The 18,518-nt window shown below is 38.9% G+C and overlaps 2 protein-coding genes and 1 pseudogene across 4 annotated transcripts in view; 1 reads left to right on the forward strand and 2 right to left on the reverse strand.

Moving 5' to 3' along the window:
- Window positions 1-18,518, reverse strand: part of EYS (eyes shut homolog) — a 1,987,247-nt gene that overhangs the window by 1,577,022 nt on the left and 391,707 nt on the right. The gene's annotated exons all lie outside the window — the stretch shown is intronic.
- On the forward strand, window positions 4,475-9,573 carry ZC3H11C (zinc finger CCCH-type containing 11C). Of its 2 annotated transcripts, none has more exons than NM_001271675.2 (2): window positions 4,475-4,649; window positions 5,020-9,573. In NM_001271675.2, exon 2 carries the CDS (start codon window positions 5,521-5,523, stop codon window positions 7,936-7,938), a length of 2,418 nt encoding a protein of 805 aa, NP_001258604.1. In that variant the 5' UTR covers window positions 4,475-4,649; window positions 5,020-5,520; the 3' UTR covers window positions 7,939-9,573. The 2 variants fall into 2 exon arrangements, with proteins under 2 accessions (NP_001258604.1, XP_016866378.1); XM_017010889.3 differs by lacking the exon at window positions 4,475-4,649 and adding an exon at window positions 4,913-4,955 and having other exon boundaries at window positions 5,316-9,573.
- LOC124901559 (uncharacterized) lies at window positions 14,075-14,144 on the reverse strand (annotated as a pseudogene).

The following is an 18,518-nucleotide window of genomic DNA, read 5'->3' on the forward strand; positions in this document are numbered from 1 at the left end:
ACACATCTGTTCAAGGCCTAATTTATTTGATCATTATACATTGAACAACTTTTCTTGGGTTCCTCTATATCTAGGCATAGTTATAAGTTATTAATATAAATTCTTAGATCATTTTAATATAATAATACATTATATAATATATCCATATGCATTTCTTTGAATATTTTATATACATACATAATTGAAAAAGAAAGCAAAAGATGAAAAAAAATTAAAGTATCATGATTTTCAAGAATTCTTTACCAAGCATTCAAAGGGCACTTAACATTAGCATATAAATATGTCAATGGGCTGAGAAAAGCAATGTCAAATCACTTTGCTTGTTATTATTAATAAAAATTAACCTACTGAACCTAAGTCATTACACTTATAACTGTATATGACGGTAAGCGTTTGGAGCCAGCAAAAATGTTAAAGGTGAATTAGTTCAAGCCTTTCTTCTTGTAGTTGTAAAGAACTTAGCCATTTAATGCAATTTGTCAAGGATCACTGAGATTATTAACGGTAGGAAGTGTAGTGGATGCTTTGATGTGTTCAAATCACTGGTCTTGGAGAGAAAACTTTGGTTTTAATTCTTTTCAAACATGTATTAAATAAATATATTTGTGCCTGTTTTCTCATCTGCAAAATTCTCAGCTGCACATCTATTTCACAGAAGAGTATTGAATGCATTTTTTACTGGGCAAGTAACTGTTACCTACTATATCAAACACCCTTCCAACAAAGTTACCTGAAATAAAATCATAGAATACAGTTACTTCCCTTCAATACCTTTCCTCTTCTCCCTCCACATACAGAAAAAGAAAAAAAAACCTAGGTAAATTCAAAACAACTGCCACATGGCAAAAAATTGTTGGCCTGTGCTAGGCCTTGTTTAACCGTATCTTTGTAAATTGTTAATAGTGCTCTTTCACTTTTAACAGTGTTCTGATTGGGGTGGTAGATTACACGGGGCCCTATGTATAATGCCAAGATTATTACATAGTTCTGTGCCTCTACTATGCAAGCTTTAGTCATAATGCTGTTTGTTATTCCATGAAAATGAAAAGAAAATTGTAGAAAGTTCCTTCCTAAATGAACAGGATATCCTGTACAAGAATACGAAGGCATATCTTTATAATTCTTCCTGAGCTAATCTCTAGTTTATTAAATCTCAATAAAGGCATCAAGAGGTAGACTCTAAATTATATATGGGAAGCTTACGGCATTGAGAATATTTTTGAAAATTAAGAGTAATATGGAAGTACTAGCTCAGATACTATAACAAACAAAAACTGTACTAATTGAAAGAGAGTTTGCCAGTTAACTATTAGGATCTTGCTGAAGTCTCTAATCTGAACTGTGTGGAGATAGTGACACCTTTTATTAAGAGGAAGATTTAATAGGAGAAAATTTGGGGTAGAAACTAGGAATCTGCATTTGGCCATAGCAAATTTGAAATGGTAATTGACCTATTTTTATATTTCATTATATTTCATGTATTTTTATATTGACCACTTGATGTTTGTTTTATTGAGCTTTAATGTCCTCAAGAGAATACTTTTTCTTGTGTACTCGTCTTTTTAAAATTTGACGAGTTGTGGTTAGAGCAACAACCTACTTGTTCCCAATTTTTGAATTTTTCAAATTTTATTTTTGACACAACTTAGGCACATTCCCTTATTGTTTAGCATTACCATTTCTATATCAACCTACCTACAATACAAACCTACCTACACATACATATTTATATATATATATATTTAAATTCTCAAAAATGATTATATCTTAGTAATATATAATGCTCTGAAATTTTATCTTTCCATTTAATGATATGTCTGAGATACCAATCCAAATTAGCACATTTTGTTTTCAAAGGTTGCAAATATTCTATTATATGAATGTACCATAATATTTCACCCTCAGAAGGCACTGTAGTTACTATGCGTTTTAATTTGTTGTGTTAATATTTATACAGAAATGGAAGTCCTTGTACAAATATATCAGTGGATTCTATAGAGAGGATCCATAGGATAAATCCCTTGCAAAATTGGCCCTAATCAAAAGGAAATCAAGTGTTTAATTTTAATAGTTCTTATCAAAGCCCTCTCTATAAAGGTTGATGTTCAGAATGCCGGGCTTCCCAAACACTGGAGAGTTCTGCATATCATAAAATGTTTTAGTATTTGCCAGTCTGATTAAAAAATCTGTCCTATTTTGCTATGATTTGTATGTGTTTAATTCATGAATTGCACTTTTTTTGCAAAGTTACTGGTCATTTACCTTTTTGTTTTCCTAATAACAACCTATTTTTGGTAATTTTTCTACAATAAATAACATATTTTTAACACTAATTTTATAATTAGCACAAAAGAAAATCAGATATCAACACTTCCTTTTCCTTTGCACCACATCCTTCCCCTGACCCCCCCCAAAAAACAACTTGGCAGTCTATTGCTTTCTAATGGCCATTGTTTGAAAGCTCATTGGGATGTTCTTAGGAAAGTGTCGCTTCTGATGCATTGGAAGTAGTCCAAAATTTCTGAAATGCCAGGCGTTTTGGTTTTAAATTTATTTCCAAGTTTTAATATTCTGGTTTATTTTAATTTATATTTTCATCAAATACTATGTAAATATTCCTATAATAATGCAAATATTTCTTATAGAATAACTATAGTGTCTTCTGAGGGTCAAATATTACAGTGCGTTTCCATTTCTAACTCATCCTGCCACCTATATAAGATGTTTAACTATTTTTGTGTTTTCATTTATCTCAATATTTCCAAATAAAATATTTTACATTTATTACTTAATAAAAAAGCACATTTAAACATTATTCATTGATGTCATCCTATGGAAGAGAAGTATTTACATTTCTTACACTGCTCCTTACCCCAAAACACACACACACAGACACACAGATAAACACACCAAGCCCTTATATCATTCTCCCAATATAAAATTAGGTTAATTTTGTAATAAATTAACATTCATTTTATATAATTATGTGTTTAGTGATATCATTTGTAGCTGAAAGAGGTCATATGCATTTACTTTTACAGAACATTTTTGTTTTCCTGGCAGTTTTTAATCACTATATTTTTAGTTTTGTTTACTTATTCTAAGCATCCAGTCATCATTACTTCCCCATGTCCCTCAATATGCAAAATACATTGGATATTCTCTCAGCCTCAGTCTTTTTGTCCTTAGAAATGCCTCTTCTGAATGGGTAGATCCACAGGCTCACTTCATAGTGTTTTCTGGGATGACTCTTCACCTTCATCCTGGGAGGCTTTACCGCCTGTCTTCTGGTTTGGATCCTCAGTTTCCTAAATTCCTCATCTTTTCCTTACTTGACTTCCTATTTTAAGCGAAGTATATTATTTTTAGGTTAGACCTCTTAGAACTAAAAATGTTCACATATTGTAGATCTGAAAACTATTTTTTTCTACCTTTTTCTTATTACTTTGAGGGCAGTAGTCTTAAGTTTTGGAGTTTTTTTCAAAAGTTTAACATGCATCTCTTCTTTGTATTTCCTCTGAATTTTCTCCCCACCTTCCAACTGACTTTGGTCTCTGGCTGTGAAGTTAGAGAATTTCCTAACTTACATGGTTATGCTTGGCTCTCCACTTATATTGAAAAATAAATCACCAAAAAATATGGTTTGAAATTCCATGTATTCATTGTGAGTGGTTTTCTAGTGACTTTATTGCACTGTGATCAAAGAGACCTGGCTGATTTGTTTAAGAACTCTCTAATTCTCTCAGAGTCTGTATTCTTTTACCTACATCCACTCAGTGACAGTCAGGGGAAGTGGCCTGACCACCCACATTTTTAGAGCAGAATAGGGAAAAATACCTTGTTACCTTTGTTTTGGGAGTAGATTTTTACTTAATTTCTCCTCTGTAGTATTGCACCACATCCCTGGGCTCTGTGTATTGCTCAAGAATGGAACAGGCTGTTCGCACAGATAAAAGAGAGAATTCAGGAGTTTAACTGTGTGCTCATAAAGCTTTCAACCAATTCTTTGATTTTCAGCTTTACCATGGTCCCACCCTCAGGAATGACTGATGAGTACAATGCCTGTCTTTCGAGTATTCGGCTTATTTAGTGGCTTCCCCTCTGCTACCAACTTAGTTTGGTGGTTCTAGTCTTTCCTGATGCTTTGCATTTTAAATAATTTTTGTTAGGATGTTAGACACTGTAAATATTTTATTGAAAGTCTAGATTTTGGGCTGGGCGTGGTAACTCATGCCTGTAATCCCAGCACTTTGGGAGGCCGAGGCGGGCAGATCACGAGGTCAGGAGATCGAGACCATCCTGGCTAACACGGTGAAACCCCGTCTCTACCAAAGATATAAGAAATTAGATCTTAGGCATCGCGTCATAGAGGAACTACACCTTCCAGAACCCTCGCGCCCTGCGTCGTGCTGGCACTTTTACCGGCCGGGCCTTAGAGCGCAGCCTGTAGCCGGGCGCCATCTTTGACGCTGGCAGTCTTGGTTTTCTGCTAGTGCTGCTGCTGCTGGGAGGACGACGGACGGCAGCGGCCAAGCGAGAAGAAAGACGTGGCAGCAAGCGGGAGTCGGGGATAGTGTCATCGGTTCGGGTCCCACTACTTTGGAGCTTGTCTCAAACTCCACATACAGAAAGCCACCGACCTTATTCCGGTATCCTACACCCATTCCCCACCCTCATTACACTCCCACCCCTGGCCCTCAGCGTGGGAGTCAAGAGCAACAGGGACACTTCCGTACTCCTTGTAGGATTGGTGAAACCGTAATGACGAACACCCCTAAACTCCCATAATTGGTGCGGATTCCTGTGGGGAAGGCCTATACTGTTGACATCTTCCAGGCCATCTCAAGGTTCTGGACCTTGAGAAGGAGGCTGTGGAACTAGAGATAGTGATGCTTTTTAGGATTTGGGGATATTCCCTGCCCAAAAAATTCCTGGAAAATTGACTAGTATTAAGTGTGAAGAAATCTTGAAGACCAGAAATTGGATCTTACTGAAAAACTGATTTTTTTTGTTTTTCAGATTATATTGTTCAGCTATGGAAGATGGATTTTTTTTCATGATCCTTTGACTCTCAAGTTCATCTTTAAATGAACTCTTTTTTTTGTTTTGTTTTTGAGGAGATAACTAACCCTAGCTGTCTCCAGTCTGACAAAGGTTATTTGAATGGACTTAATCTCCCAGTAGTTGGGAGATGTTTTAAAAACACATGCTGTGTTTGAATTGTGGCTGAGAGGTTTTCTTGGCAATGTGAGGAGGAAAATTTTTTCTGCTTCATTATTATTAATTCATGGATTGAGTGTTGGTTCGACCTACAGGCGTAATAGATTGGAACTCAGTGAAGACACAGACGTTCCTGTTGAGAGCAATCAGCTAATGATTACAGTTTAAAGACAATTTCTGTGATCAAGTTGTCATTTGGAAGATTAAACCCATTTCACGAGGACTTGGAGCCTGGTCCTTGCTTTGAGGAAGCAGTGGCTTGTTTCAAGAAGCCACTTCTGATCTAAGAATCTACCCAGCATGCCTAATCAAGGAGAAGACTGCTATTTTTTTTTCTATTCTACATGTACCAAAGGTGACAGCTGCCCATTCCGTCACTGTGAAGCTGCACTAGGCAATGAAACTGTTTGCACATTATGGCAAGAAGGGCGCTGTTTTCGACGGGTGTGCAGGTTTCGGCACATGGAGATTGATAAAAAACGCAGTGAAATTCCTTGTTATTGGGAAAATCAGCCAACAGGATGTCAAAAATTAAACTGCGCTTTCCATCACAATAGAGGACGATATGTTGATGGCCTTTTCCTACCTCCGAGCAAAAGTGTGTTGCCCACTGTGCCTGAGTCACCAGAAGAGGAAGTGAAGGCTAGCCAACTTTCAGTTCAGCAGAACAAATTGTCTGTCCAGTCCAATCCTTCCCCTCAGCTGCGGAGCGTTATGAAAGTAGAAAGTTCCGAAAATGTTCCTAGCCCCAAGCATCCACCAGTTGTAATTAATGCTGCAGATGATGATGAAGATGATGATGATCAGTTTTCTGAGGAAGGTGATGAAACCAAAACACCTACCCTGCAACCAACTCCTGAAGTTCACAATGGATTACGAGTGACTTCTGTCCGGAAACCTGCAGTCAATATAAAGCAAGGTGAATGTTTGCATTTTGGAATAAAAACTCTTGAGGAAATTAAGTCAAAGAAAATGAAGGAAAAATCTGAGGAGCAAGGTGAGGGTTCTTCAGGAGTTTCCAGTCTTTTACTCCACCCTGAGCCTGTTCCAGGTCCTGAAAAAGAAAATGTCAGGACTGTGGTGAGGACAGTAACTCTCTCCACCAAACAAGGAGAAGAACCCTTGGTTAGATTGGGCCTTACTGAGACACTGGGGAAACGAAAATTTTCGACAGGCGGTGACAGTGATCCTCCATTAAAGCGCAGCCTGGCACAGAGGCTAGGGAAGAAAGTTGAAGCTCCAGAAACTAACACTGACGAAACACCAAAGAAAGCTCAAGTTTCCAAGTCTCTTAAGGAGCGATTAGGCATGTCAGCTGATCCAAATAATGAGGACGCAACAGATAAAGTTAATAAAGTTGGTGAGATCCATGTGAAGACATTAGAAGAAATGCTTCTTGAAAGAGCCAGTCAGAAACATGGGGAATCGCAAACTAAACTCAAGACAGAAGGACCTTCAAAAACTGATGATTCTACTTCAGGAGCAAGAAGCTCCTCCACTATCCGTATCAAAACCTTCTCTGAGGTCCTGGCTGAAGAAGAACATAGGCAGCAGGAAGCAGAGAGACAAAAAAGCAAAAAGGATACAACTTGCATCAAGCTAAAGACTGATAGTGAAATTAAAAAAACAGTAGTTTTGCCACCCATTGTTGCCAGCAAAGGACAATCAGAGGAGCCTGCAGGTAAAACAAAGTCCATGCAGGAGGTGCACATGAAGACGGTGGAAGAAATTAAACTGGAGAAGGCACTGAGGGTGCAGCAGAGCTCTGAGAGCAGCACCAGCTCCCCGTCTCAACATGAGGCCACTCCAGGGGCAAGGTTGCTACTGCGAATCACCAAAAGAACATGGAGGAAAGAAGAGAAGAAACTTCAGGAAGGAAATGAAGTTGATTTTCTGAGCCGTGTTAGAATGGAAGCTACAGAGGCTTCAGTTGAGACCACAGGAGTTGACATCACTAAAATTCAAGTCAAGAGATGTGAGATCATGAGAGAGACGCGCATGCAGAAACAGCAGGAGAGGGAAAAATCAGTCTTGACACCTCTTCAGGGAGATGTAGCCTCTTGCAATACCCAAGTGGCAGAGAAACCAGTGCTCACTGCTGTGCCAGGAATCACATGGCACCTGACCAAGCAGCTTCCCACAAAGTCATCCCAGAAGGTGGAGGTAGAAACCTCAGGGATTGCAGACTCATTATTGAATGTGAAATGGTCAGCACAGACCTTGGAAAAAAGGGGTGAAGCTAAACCCACAGTGAACGTGAAGCAATCTGTGGTTAAAGTTGTGTCATCCCCCAAATTGGCCCCAAAACGTAAGGCAGTGGAGATGCACCCTGCTGTCACTGCCGCTGTGAAGCCACTCAGCTCCAGCAGCGTCCTACAGGAACCCCCAGCCAAAAAGGCAGCTGTGGATGCTGTTGTCCTGCTTGTCTCTGAGGACAAATCAGTCACTGTGCCTGAAACAGAAAATCCTAGAGACAGTCTTGTGCTGCCTCTAACCCAGTCCTCTTCAGATTCCTCACCCCCGGAGGTGTCTGGCCCTTCCTCATCCCAAATGAGCATGAAAACTCGCCGACTCAGCTCTGCCTCAACAGGAAAGCCCCCACTCTCTGTGGAGGATGATTTTGAGAAACTAACATGGGAGATTTCAGGAGGCAAATTGGAAGCTGAGATTGACCTGGATCCTGGGAAAGATGAAGATGACCTTCCGCTTGAGCTATGAGAAATGATTGATAGCTGAAGGTGGTAGTGAGGACACTTTAAAAAAAAATCGCCAAAAAACTGGACTTAGTTTCATCTATTGTAACATTTACCTGAGATGATCATTTCTTTAGTCTAGAATTTGCCCCAAATCAGAAGTATACCTCTGAATTATCTGTATGTGTCCTGGATTCCTTGGGGTCAGATTTTTAAAGTTACTTTATAACCATTTTGTCCATTTGATGCCATTGTTTATCATCTTTTGAGAAAAAAGTTCTGTCATACCCTTCTCTCCACAAAAAAGAGACTGAGAGGGAGATCAAGTGAAAGGGTGCAAGCAAACTTAGTGACTCCTTGAGGTGTTTGTCAGTTTTGGCTTTTTTCTCCTTTGTTGTATTCTTTATGTATTGTCTTGATGTACTTAATATTACCTGAGTTTGAAATGGATGAAGACAGCTGCTACCATTAAGGACCAAATTTTATGCTACCACTAAACAAAAATACCCACTCAGTCTGTGTTAGATTGTATGTCTTTTTAAAGGTATTTAGAGATTCAACTAAGCTTTAAAGAGGGCTGAGCAGCTCAGGAAGCCTGTAATGTGGGCATAACTCTTTGGACCTGATCTTGATGCTTCTGCTGCTCTGTTGGCCTCTGAAGAGCAATATCTAATTTATTATTACTGTAATTTTTTAAAAGGCTTTAAAGTGCCTCAGGGGTCCCCTGAAACTAATTTTCTATTTCTGGGATTCCCTGGATTCATTATATGAGATGGTGACATGATTAGAGGAATTCTTTTTTAGTATGAAAATTGTCCCTTTTCTTCTTCAGTACTTGCCTCCTTGCTGGCATTGAATTAACACAGGGACAAAATATGGTTAATTTTTTATTTCTAATTCTCCCAACAAACCCCTGTTGCCCAGTATTTATGTGGTGGCCTTTAACCACCTGAGGGAAAAAATGAGCTTATTCAAGCTGCCAATATTTATCTATGGGCTGTAGCAGTACACTGAATTGTACTGTGCCAGGGATATTGAGATGCTCTGGGGGTATATTGTATACCTGCCAGTTTTCTTCATTTCTGAATTGAGTTTTCTTTTCTTGATGTTGGTTTCCTTCATATCACCTCAAGGTTTAGATTTGTGAAGGAATAAGCATGATGGAAATAATAGTCTTGAAAGGAGATATGTTGTATATAATCAGGAGGAAGAGGAAGGAAGGACTTACCCATTTTGATATTTTGCTGTAGGTGGCCAGTTTTGTTTCTCATAGGGAAATCTGACCCCCACCTGTCATGTTGGCTCCTAAGGAACTGCTGTTGTAAGCGGCTCATCAAGAGTTGAACTTCACGTAGCCTTGTTGGGAATATGGAAAAGGAAGAAAGCCACAGGACTGCCCATTCAGTCTTGTTAAGATTGGGATGATTCTGCACAAGCAAAAATGACTTGAAATTTATGTATCGACACACCTCTACCAATCCATCTTCAGCTGACTGAATGTTGTATGATAGCCCTTCTCCAAAGCAGGGGTAGAATGTTCAGGTTTCACCACGGATTTTCTACTTATTTCGCTTTTGGAATCAGCTTACAGATTCCAGGTCCCTTTTGTAGATATTCTTTATTCTTTTGCTTTTTTAAAAAATAAACTGGTATTAGTCAATGTTTCGTGTTCCGCATTATTTGAACCATTTGCCCTTACAGAAAGAGAAATACTTGTTTGTGTTTTAAATAAAACTGATGTAGGATAAAAAAAAAAAGAAAGAAAGAAATTAGCCAGGCGTGGTGGTGGGTGCCTGTAGTCCCAGCTACTTGGGAGGCTGAGGCAGGAGAATGGTGTGAACCTGGGAGGCGGAGGTTGCAGTGAGCTGAGATCGTGCCACTGCACTCCAGCCTGGGCAGCAGAGCAAGAGTCCGTCTCAAAAAAAAAAAAAAAAAAAAAAAAAAAAAAGAAAGTCTAGATTTTGTAGTCTTCCTCTGGAAAGCCGAATTTTGTTTTGCCAGGGAGTTAAGTTACTTACCATTCAACCTGATCCTTTTTAAGCGTATTTTTAAGTTTGGGAGTATGCGTCTAGAGTAAGTTTTTCTTTAGGGCTAATTTAATTATCCTTTTGAAGCACGCCTCTTCAGGAGGCTCGAGGAAATATTCAGGGTGGTCCGCAATGCCTCCATTCTGGCTGGCTGCAACTCAACCCCCAGCTCACAAATCCCAGTAGCTGTTTTTGCCTGGCCTCACAGAGTTTCATTTCATGCATATGTAGCCTAATATTCAATGAAGGACTCAGGATAGCTGCCTGTATAGATTTCTGGAGTTCTTTCTCTCTGTGCCTCACATTTCAGCTCTTTTAGCTCCTTTAACTCTGATCTCTGTCTATTAAATTCAGTAAGTTGGATCTGCCTTGTCATGGTTCCTCCTCTCTTACTGCAGTCTTGGAAGTGCCTACATCCAGAAAGCCATGTTGGTTCTAGGGCTTACCTCATTTCTTTTCCTGTTCTGAAGACTCACACTTCTGTGCTGTGTCTGTTTTCTAACGTCTGAAAACAGCTGTCTCATGTATTTTGTCCAATTTCCTAGCTGTTTACAGCAGAGAGACAGATTTGGTACCAGTTATTCTATCACATTGAGAAGTGATAGTCCCTAAACTTGCTCTAAACATGTTTAGATTTAATGTGAACAACTAATGTTTCCATTTTCAGTTTCTCTTAGCAGTTTTCAGGAGCTTCAATCCGTTAATTCTCAAATACATCCATAAATCACTTGGAATATCTTAATGCATTGTATGAAAGATAATTCCTCCTCTGTACCCATCATCACCACTCTTCCTTTAAATTGTGGGATATGTTTTTCTGAGACTGTGGCTTTAGTGTGTACGAGAAAAATTCAGTTGTTATCCCCTCATTTTGGGGAGTAAAAATAATAAGAATGAGGAGCATTATAGTATCTAATCTTGTCCAACAAAAACCTAGGTAACTTTGGAAGTTTTCTTCTCTCTCCCCCACTCTCCCACTTCTATGTGTGTATAAGTGTGTTTATTGAATAAAGAGCCTTTTATTTTTATTTATTTATTTATTTATTTATTTGAGATGATGTCTCACTGTCATCCAGGCTGGAGTGCAGTGGTGTGATCTCAGCTCACTGCAGCCTCCACCTCCCGGGTTCAAGCGATTCTTCTGCCTCAGCCTCCCTAGCAGTTGGGACAGACTACAGGCACATCCCACCACGCCCAGCTAATTTTTTGTATTTTTATTAGAGACAGGGTTTCACTTGTTGGCCAGGCTGGTCTTGAACTCCTGACCTCAGGTGATCCACCTGCCTTGGCCTCCCAAAGTGCTAGAATTACAGGCGTGAGCCACTGCCTCAGGCTGAATAAAGAGCCTTTTAGATAATGTCTTGCCTGACAAGTTTAAAACAACTTTCTTACCAGATATGCCATAATAAAAATCTCCAAGAAGTTTTCCTTAGGCTACATCTCAATGGGCCATTTAATACTATATCAATAAACTTTATTACATAATAAGATCTTGGTGTTTATCAGAAAGGGATTTGAGCCAGGGTGTTTTAAGTTGGTTAGTATCTTGAGTGAGAAAGATCTCTGTTTTCATTAGCCTTCTCAGAAAAAACTCCCCCTATTTATCAGGAATGCAAATGTTTCAGATTGAAGTGGGTACCCAGACATAGCTCAACATTGCACAAACAGGTGCCAAGGGGAATCTGTTTCCTTTTCTATCTAACTCCAACTCCTTTGAATTTTTTTGACAGGTACTTAGAAAAACTGGGATTGACAAAGTGATACAGTTTGAGTTATATGTTGCCATAGAAAGAGGCAAGTTGGCAAATATTTTGGTAAATCATTTCAAGATAGCTTTGAGGAGGTCCTCAAAGCTTAGTATTATACATAGAGCAAGAGGATTATATGAAGTATGAAGAGAAAATTTCTTCTGATTTTCTAAGGAAGATATTGTTTAAGATCCAAGACTAGAAAACCAGTTGAATAATGTAATAGTAGTGCTTGGGCGAATCAAACCTTTTGGTGTGTTAAGTTTAAATTCTCAGGAGGATCGGGAAATCCATGGAACCAGATGGCTCCTAATTGTTTACAAGGAGAAAAAAGTCATGCAGAGGTTGAGAATTGCATGGTATTAAAACCTATAGGGTTAAAAAAATTAGAAAAAACTAGTGTGGAGTTTGGAGTATTTCAACTGGTAATCAAATACAGAATGTTATGAGATAGCTGATGAGATATTCTTTCGTCAGATTTCCTCAAATAAATAAAGGCTGTTGATGGTTCCATCAAGACAGTTTTGCGTGTAGGGAAATAATTAGCATGTGTTTTATCTCCGTTAACATATGTTCGTAATTGCACCCATACACTTCCTTAGAAGGGGAAAGTTTGCAGGCCTCTGAAATGACATTTGTACTTCCATAGCAGAATTCAAAACCAACACTATAGAAAGCATCTATAGCTGCCTTAAAGAAAAAAATTGGTGAATCAGCCAAGGGTGATGGGAAACATGGGGCCTGATAGACTTGTCATATCTTGTTACAAATGTTCTCAAAAAAGCATTATTCATGTGCCTCTGCTTCCTATGACTAGATATCAGATATCACCAAGTCTCTGTCACTGAGGAGCTTATAGCTTAAAAGGGGGACTTTTAAATAAGTAAACACACTAGTAGACATTAATCAGCTCACCAACCCCAAAATATTGGAGCATTAGGAAGAACTGAATTCGAATCTTCGCTCTGGTACTTAAAGTGTGATTATGGGAATGTGTTTTAATTTTAATGAACATCAGTTCCCATCTCAGTTAATAGCAACCAAGCTTCCCGGTAAAAATTCTATGGTTATCCTTTATGTATCTTTCCCCTTGCCTCTTACTGCCAATTTAGCAGCACGTCCAATTGATCCTACTTTCAAACAGACGTGACTACTTCTCTCCCTTTCACAGTGACATCCAAGGCCCCAACATCTATTGCCTAGACAATTGGCCTCCAGTCTACTTCTACTTTTGTCTTCCTCCCCTTGATCCCTGTTCAATTTTTCTTGGTTGAATAGCCATATTGATCCTTTCAGTATGCATTGGATCACAATACTATCTTGCTCCAACCCCTTCAGGTCCCTCCCATTGCACTGGACTATACACACTCTTGGCTGGGCGTGGTGGCTCATGCCTGTCATCCCAGCACTTTGAGAGGCCAAGGTAGACAGATCACTTGAGGTCAGGAGTTCGAGACCAGGCTGGCCAACATGGTGAAACCTCATCTCTACTAAAAATACAAAAATTAGTCAGGCAAGGTGGCATGTGCCTGTAATCCCAGCTACTCGGGAGGCTGAGGCAGGAGAATTGCTTGAACCCAGGAGGCAGAGGTTGCAGTGAGCCGAGATCATGACACTGCACTCCAGCCTGGGTGATGGAGTGAGACTCTGTCTAAATCTATCTATCTAGCTATCTATCTATAGATATAGATATATCTGGGATTAGTGGTGACCAGCTTCCAAGATGACCCTCAATGATCCTGCCTGCCTCTGAGTACCCACACTCTTGTGAAGTTCCCTCCCTCACACACTATGCCAGGGTTAGTCTGTTTGACTAACCCTGGTTAGTCAAAAACAAAAACAAGGAAATAAAAAAACCCAAACTCTTCAGTATGCCCTTCAAGGCTCCATGTGACCTTGTCGTGTCTACCTCTTCTGCCTCATCTGAACCTTAGCTCTTTCCACACCCTTCTCATTCTGCTACAGTCATCTAGTCCTTACTGTTCTATGAGCAGCTCATTTGCTAAGCACATTTCTTCTCCAAGGAGTGGCTCCATTTCTCGAGTGATTCCCATTTCCACTGGCTGGTTTATCATTATCATATAAGCTCCATGTCTAACTCAAGTGTTACCACTTCAAATGGGTTTTCACCATCCTAGCTAAAATAGCAGCCACTGTCTCTCTTGCTCTGTTTTATATCTTCGTGGCAATATTGCCAACTGAAATTTTATTATTATTATTTTAAAATATTATTTATTTCTTACTAGAAGGTTAGTTCTGTAATGACCAACTTTTCCTGTCGTGTTCACTATTGTTTTCCAAGCACATAATCGATACCCATTAAATATCTGTCAAATGAATACGTAATTTTTAATGGGGATGATGAATAAAATATTATTTTTTGAGGAGGGAATAAAAGAAAATAAGTATATCTATAAATACTACACTTGATCTTAGCCAAAAGGCCGAGAAGCGATACGTATATCTATAAATACTTAAAAAGTATGAAGTACTACAATATTAATATTCTTAGATATATAACTAAAAGGGTTGGATGGTAAACAAAGTACTTGGACATGTTTCTGGTAAGTTTCTCTATGAGCTGGGACATAAGTTTTACATTTAATCCTATTTTCTATGTTAAAGGAGGATAAGTGAGTTTTACCCATTGAACAAATAGACCCACTACTCATATTTCACAATTAGCTGCTTTATGCATATTTGACCAACGTTGCACTTTAAGCAATTACAGATAACACTTAGTCCTGGACTTACAGATGGTTTGACTTATGGATGGGGAACGCAGTAGAATATTGTGTTCCCAATAATGCTGCCTATTTACAAAAGCAGAGTTTCCATCCTTTTCATTAGTTAAAAGTGAATAGTTTTTACTAATTAAATTAATATTTAATATTTAATTTGTGTCAATTAAATATGCACAAATTCTGCACAACCCTCAGCCCCCTTTTGCAGATTCTGATATGACAGTTGAGTATTATTATATGAGTAATGATAACTGTCAGGGCCAATGTTGGAAGCAACCATGTGACCTACTAATACAATATTTATCCTCTGTCCCTTTGATTTTCTGTTTAGTAGGCTCTCCAAATTATCACTCATTATGTATCCCAAAGCAGAAATCAGTGTAGGTAGCATTACTAAACTTAGCAAATAAAAATATGGGATGCCAAGTTAAATGTGAATTTCAGAAAAATGAGTGCTTTTCTGGTATAAGTATGTCCTATGCATAAGTATGTAGGGGTACCGTTTTGCTAAAAATTATTTATTGTATATTTGAAATTTATATTTAGCTGGATATCATGTATTTTATCTGGTAAACATATATATAGGATATAGCCAGTGACATAATTCCTGATGCCATCACTGGTCCTTTGGCTCAGACCACAGTATTTCTAATATCAGCGGAGCACAGCTAGATTGTTCAACTGTTGCATCTGTTAAGGTGGTTAGAAGATGGTATTTCATGGAACAAGAATATTTACTATGCCTTCCTTTATCTAAGTGCCTTTAATATGTTTCCTTTTATTTGAATAACTTTGAGTGAGAAATAGACATAAAGGAGAGTTTTCCTATGATGCTTGACTAACTCTGAATACTTCCTGGCACTTGTAAGATAAACTTGGTCATGATAAATTAAGTGATCAGTTATTGCTCCCAAGGTTTCTGTCATCTGGGTTTAGGGTCAGAGGTGGATTTTCTGTGAAGTTAGGAAAACTATAGCTTTAGGGCCGTCACTCGCATAGGTCACTTCCATGGCCCCATGCCTAATTTTGTATTCTTTTTCTTAAATACAAAAAAAAGAGACCTCCCAAACTCTATAAGTGCCATGAAAACCTGCATTCTATCCCCTCATCCCCCACCCATGTCTAGGGATAAACAGTCTAGCATGCTAGCTCTAGATAATTGCTGCTTTGGATAATTTCCAGATAAAATGCCCAAATTGACAAGACAAATGTTTTACATGTAAACAAGTTGCACTTACTTATCTCAGGCCCCCAACAACCTGATTCATTTCAGCTATTGGCTTTTTCTTTTCTCTATGGTCACAGTTATCACAGTATGCTCTCAGGAACATGGGGGCAGAGCTTCAACGTTAAACAGGTCTTTCTGTTTTCCTTTCCACTGGGAGATACCTAGTTCAATGTTCCTGTAACCAGTTGTAATATATGCCAATCTCAAAGTTAAATTCTGGCTCTTTAGGAGGGAGCTTTCATCTGAAGACCTGGGATCTTCAGATTATCACTGCGTTGTCACTTCCCCTAATTTAACAGCTGCTTGTTTTGCTTTACTCCAGTCCTCAACCCCCAGATGAGGTAGTAGAGATCCCCTACTGTTTCGTGGAACACCAGCAACACGGACACAAAGGCAAACTCCAGCTTTCCTCACACCTCTTAAAGAGCATCTTGAACCCTACAAGTCTAGATGGCCCTGGCCTATTCCCTGGGGGATATTTTTTCCCCATAGGTAGGGCTGGTGAGATATTATGTTGGAGTCACCCGGGGCCTATTCTTGTACCTCTTCTGTCTTTCTTTGGGTACTTTCATTCACTTGGTAATCCCATCTTTTGTCATGGCTCTAAAAACCATCCAAATGTTGACAGCTCCCTAGTTTATATCTGGGAAATAATAGGAGGGTTTAGAGTAAAGAAGTGACCCGATACATGCGTGATTAACACATGCTTAAAGGATCAGCCCCGAATTATCCCTTGACTCAAAACTTATTCAACTGTCTATCTGGGTGTCCTTTAGGCATCTCAGACATACTGTGATCACAGCTGAGCTCCTGATCTTGCCTCCAAATACGGTCTTTCTGCAGTTTTCCGTATCTCGATAAATGACAACTTAATCTTCCCAGTGTTTCAGGCCAAAAATCATGGAGTCATTTCTGACTCCTCTGTTATTCTCACGTTAGCTGTTCAAACTACCTAAATAACAGTCTACCTACTAAATACCCTTTGTCTCTACCTTCAGAATATATCCAGAATCTGATCCCTTCTCAGTATCTTCACAGCAAACACCTGGCCCAGGCCACCCCATCTCCTACGTGGCCTTGTAATTGCCTCCTAACTAGTCTCCCTGCTTCTGTTTTCAGCCAACTTTAGTCTGTACTCAATGTAGCAGTCAAAGCAGTCTTTTCAATACATAAGTCAGAGCATGTTAGTTATCCTCTGCTCAAAAGCCTCCAAGAGCTTCCCACATTAATAGGAATAAAAGCCCAAGTCCTATAATGGCCTGCAAGGTGGTATCTGATCAGACCCTCTGCAACGACTATTGTCCTTGTCTCCTAAAATTTTATCCACCACCCACTCCCCTCCAGCCTTGCTGACCTTGCTGTTTTTCACAGAAGCCAAACATTTCCCCACTTAGTGCCTTTCCATTGGCTGTTCCATCTGCCTGGATTGCTCTTCCTTCAGGTGTGTCTATCTGTGTGTGTGTGTGTATGTGCATGTGTGTGTGTATACATGCTTACATGCTTCCTTACCTCCTTCAAGTACTTTCTCAAATGTTACCTTCTCAATGATCACCCCATTTAAAATCGAAACCCCCCCTCCACAATTGTTAATCCTTGTTTTGATTTTTCTCCATAGCATTCATTACTTCTAAGATAGGTTTTTAAAAATTTTTTATTCTGTCTCTTCCAATTAAATATAAGCTCCATGAAATCGGGTTTTTATCTGTTTTCGTTCCTGCTCTATCATTCCTAGCACTCAGAATAGTGCCTGTCACAAGAAATGGAGGGCACTCAACATATATCCATTGAATGCATAAAACAGGATAAGAAAGTCTTAAACATTTGCTTAATGTGTCTTCATCAATCCTTAAAGGTTCAAAAGCACTCAACCCTCTTTCTCTTCTTTGGACTTCCCCTTATGGTGTGTGTGTGTGTGTGTGTGTGTGTGTGTGTGTGTGTGTGTGTGTGTTTTCCAGCTAAAACCTAATATCCTTGAGTCACACCATTAAGAGAGTTGCAGCTAGCTCTTCAGAAATCTTGTATCTACTGAACTCCAAGAACATCATTTATTCAGTACCCAAGGATGGGACATAGCCAATGATGATGATGGGAACATTTTCAGGAACTGTGCTCACTCACATAGATTTTTGTTCATGGAATAAGTTTCTGAAGGTCTGTTTATCAGGGTAAAACTTCAGTCCTGTATCAACTAACAATCCCATACAGAAGGGTCACTGTTTATATTTCTCCAAAGCCTGGTCAAAAGTAACTTTGACTAATTTGATTAAATTGATTGATAAAGTAAATCATATCACCAAAACACTTCTCATTCCAATGCTTGATAGTTATGGAATTTGCTGAGACCACCCACTGAATACCCGTTCAAATGAATGGAATCTCACAGAGCACACATAATCATCTCTGACTTTTGTAGCCATAGGGATACATTAATACCTGTGCCTCATACTTAACTGAAAATCACCAGTTGTCTGCTGAGTAGTTTACTGCATGTCAAATCTGAGGTCCAGTGTAATAGACTGTTTTACCACTTCTATTCAGAATTTTCTAATTCATAGACATTCTAATTTTATTTGTCTTTTTCTCTCAAATACCATGATAGGGTGAAAGTTTGAGCTTTTGTATCTTAATGTTTATTGAATATTAAGATACATAGAGAATACTCTACTATACATAAATGCATACCATTCAATGAATTGTCCTTGGATGAACATTGCTGTAAAACTATTCAAGTTAAAAAATAATATTTCCAGTATCCAGAAGTCTTCTGATGTCTCCTCCCCATCACTACTCCCTTCTTCCTCCCCAATGTAACTGTTACGCTCATTCTAACACTGGAGTTCAGTTGTGTCTCTTTTCCA

This window comes from Homo sapiens, chromosome 6, assembly GCF_000001405.40.
Source record: "Homo sapiens chromosome 6, GRCh38.p14 Primary Assembly".
Lineage (NCBI taxonomy): Eukaryota > Metazoa > Chordata > Mammalia > Primates > Hominidae > Homo > Homo sapiens.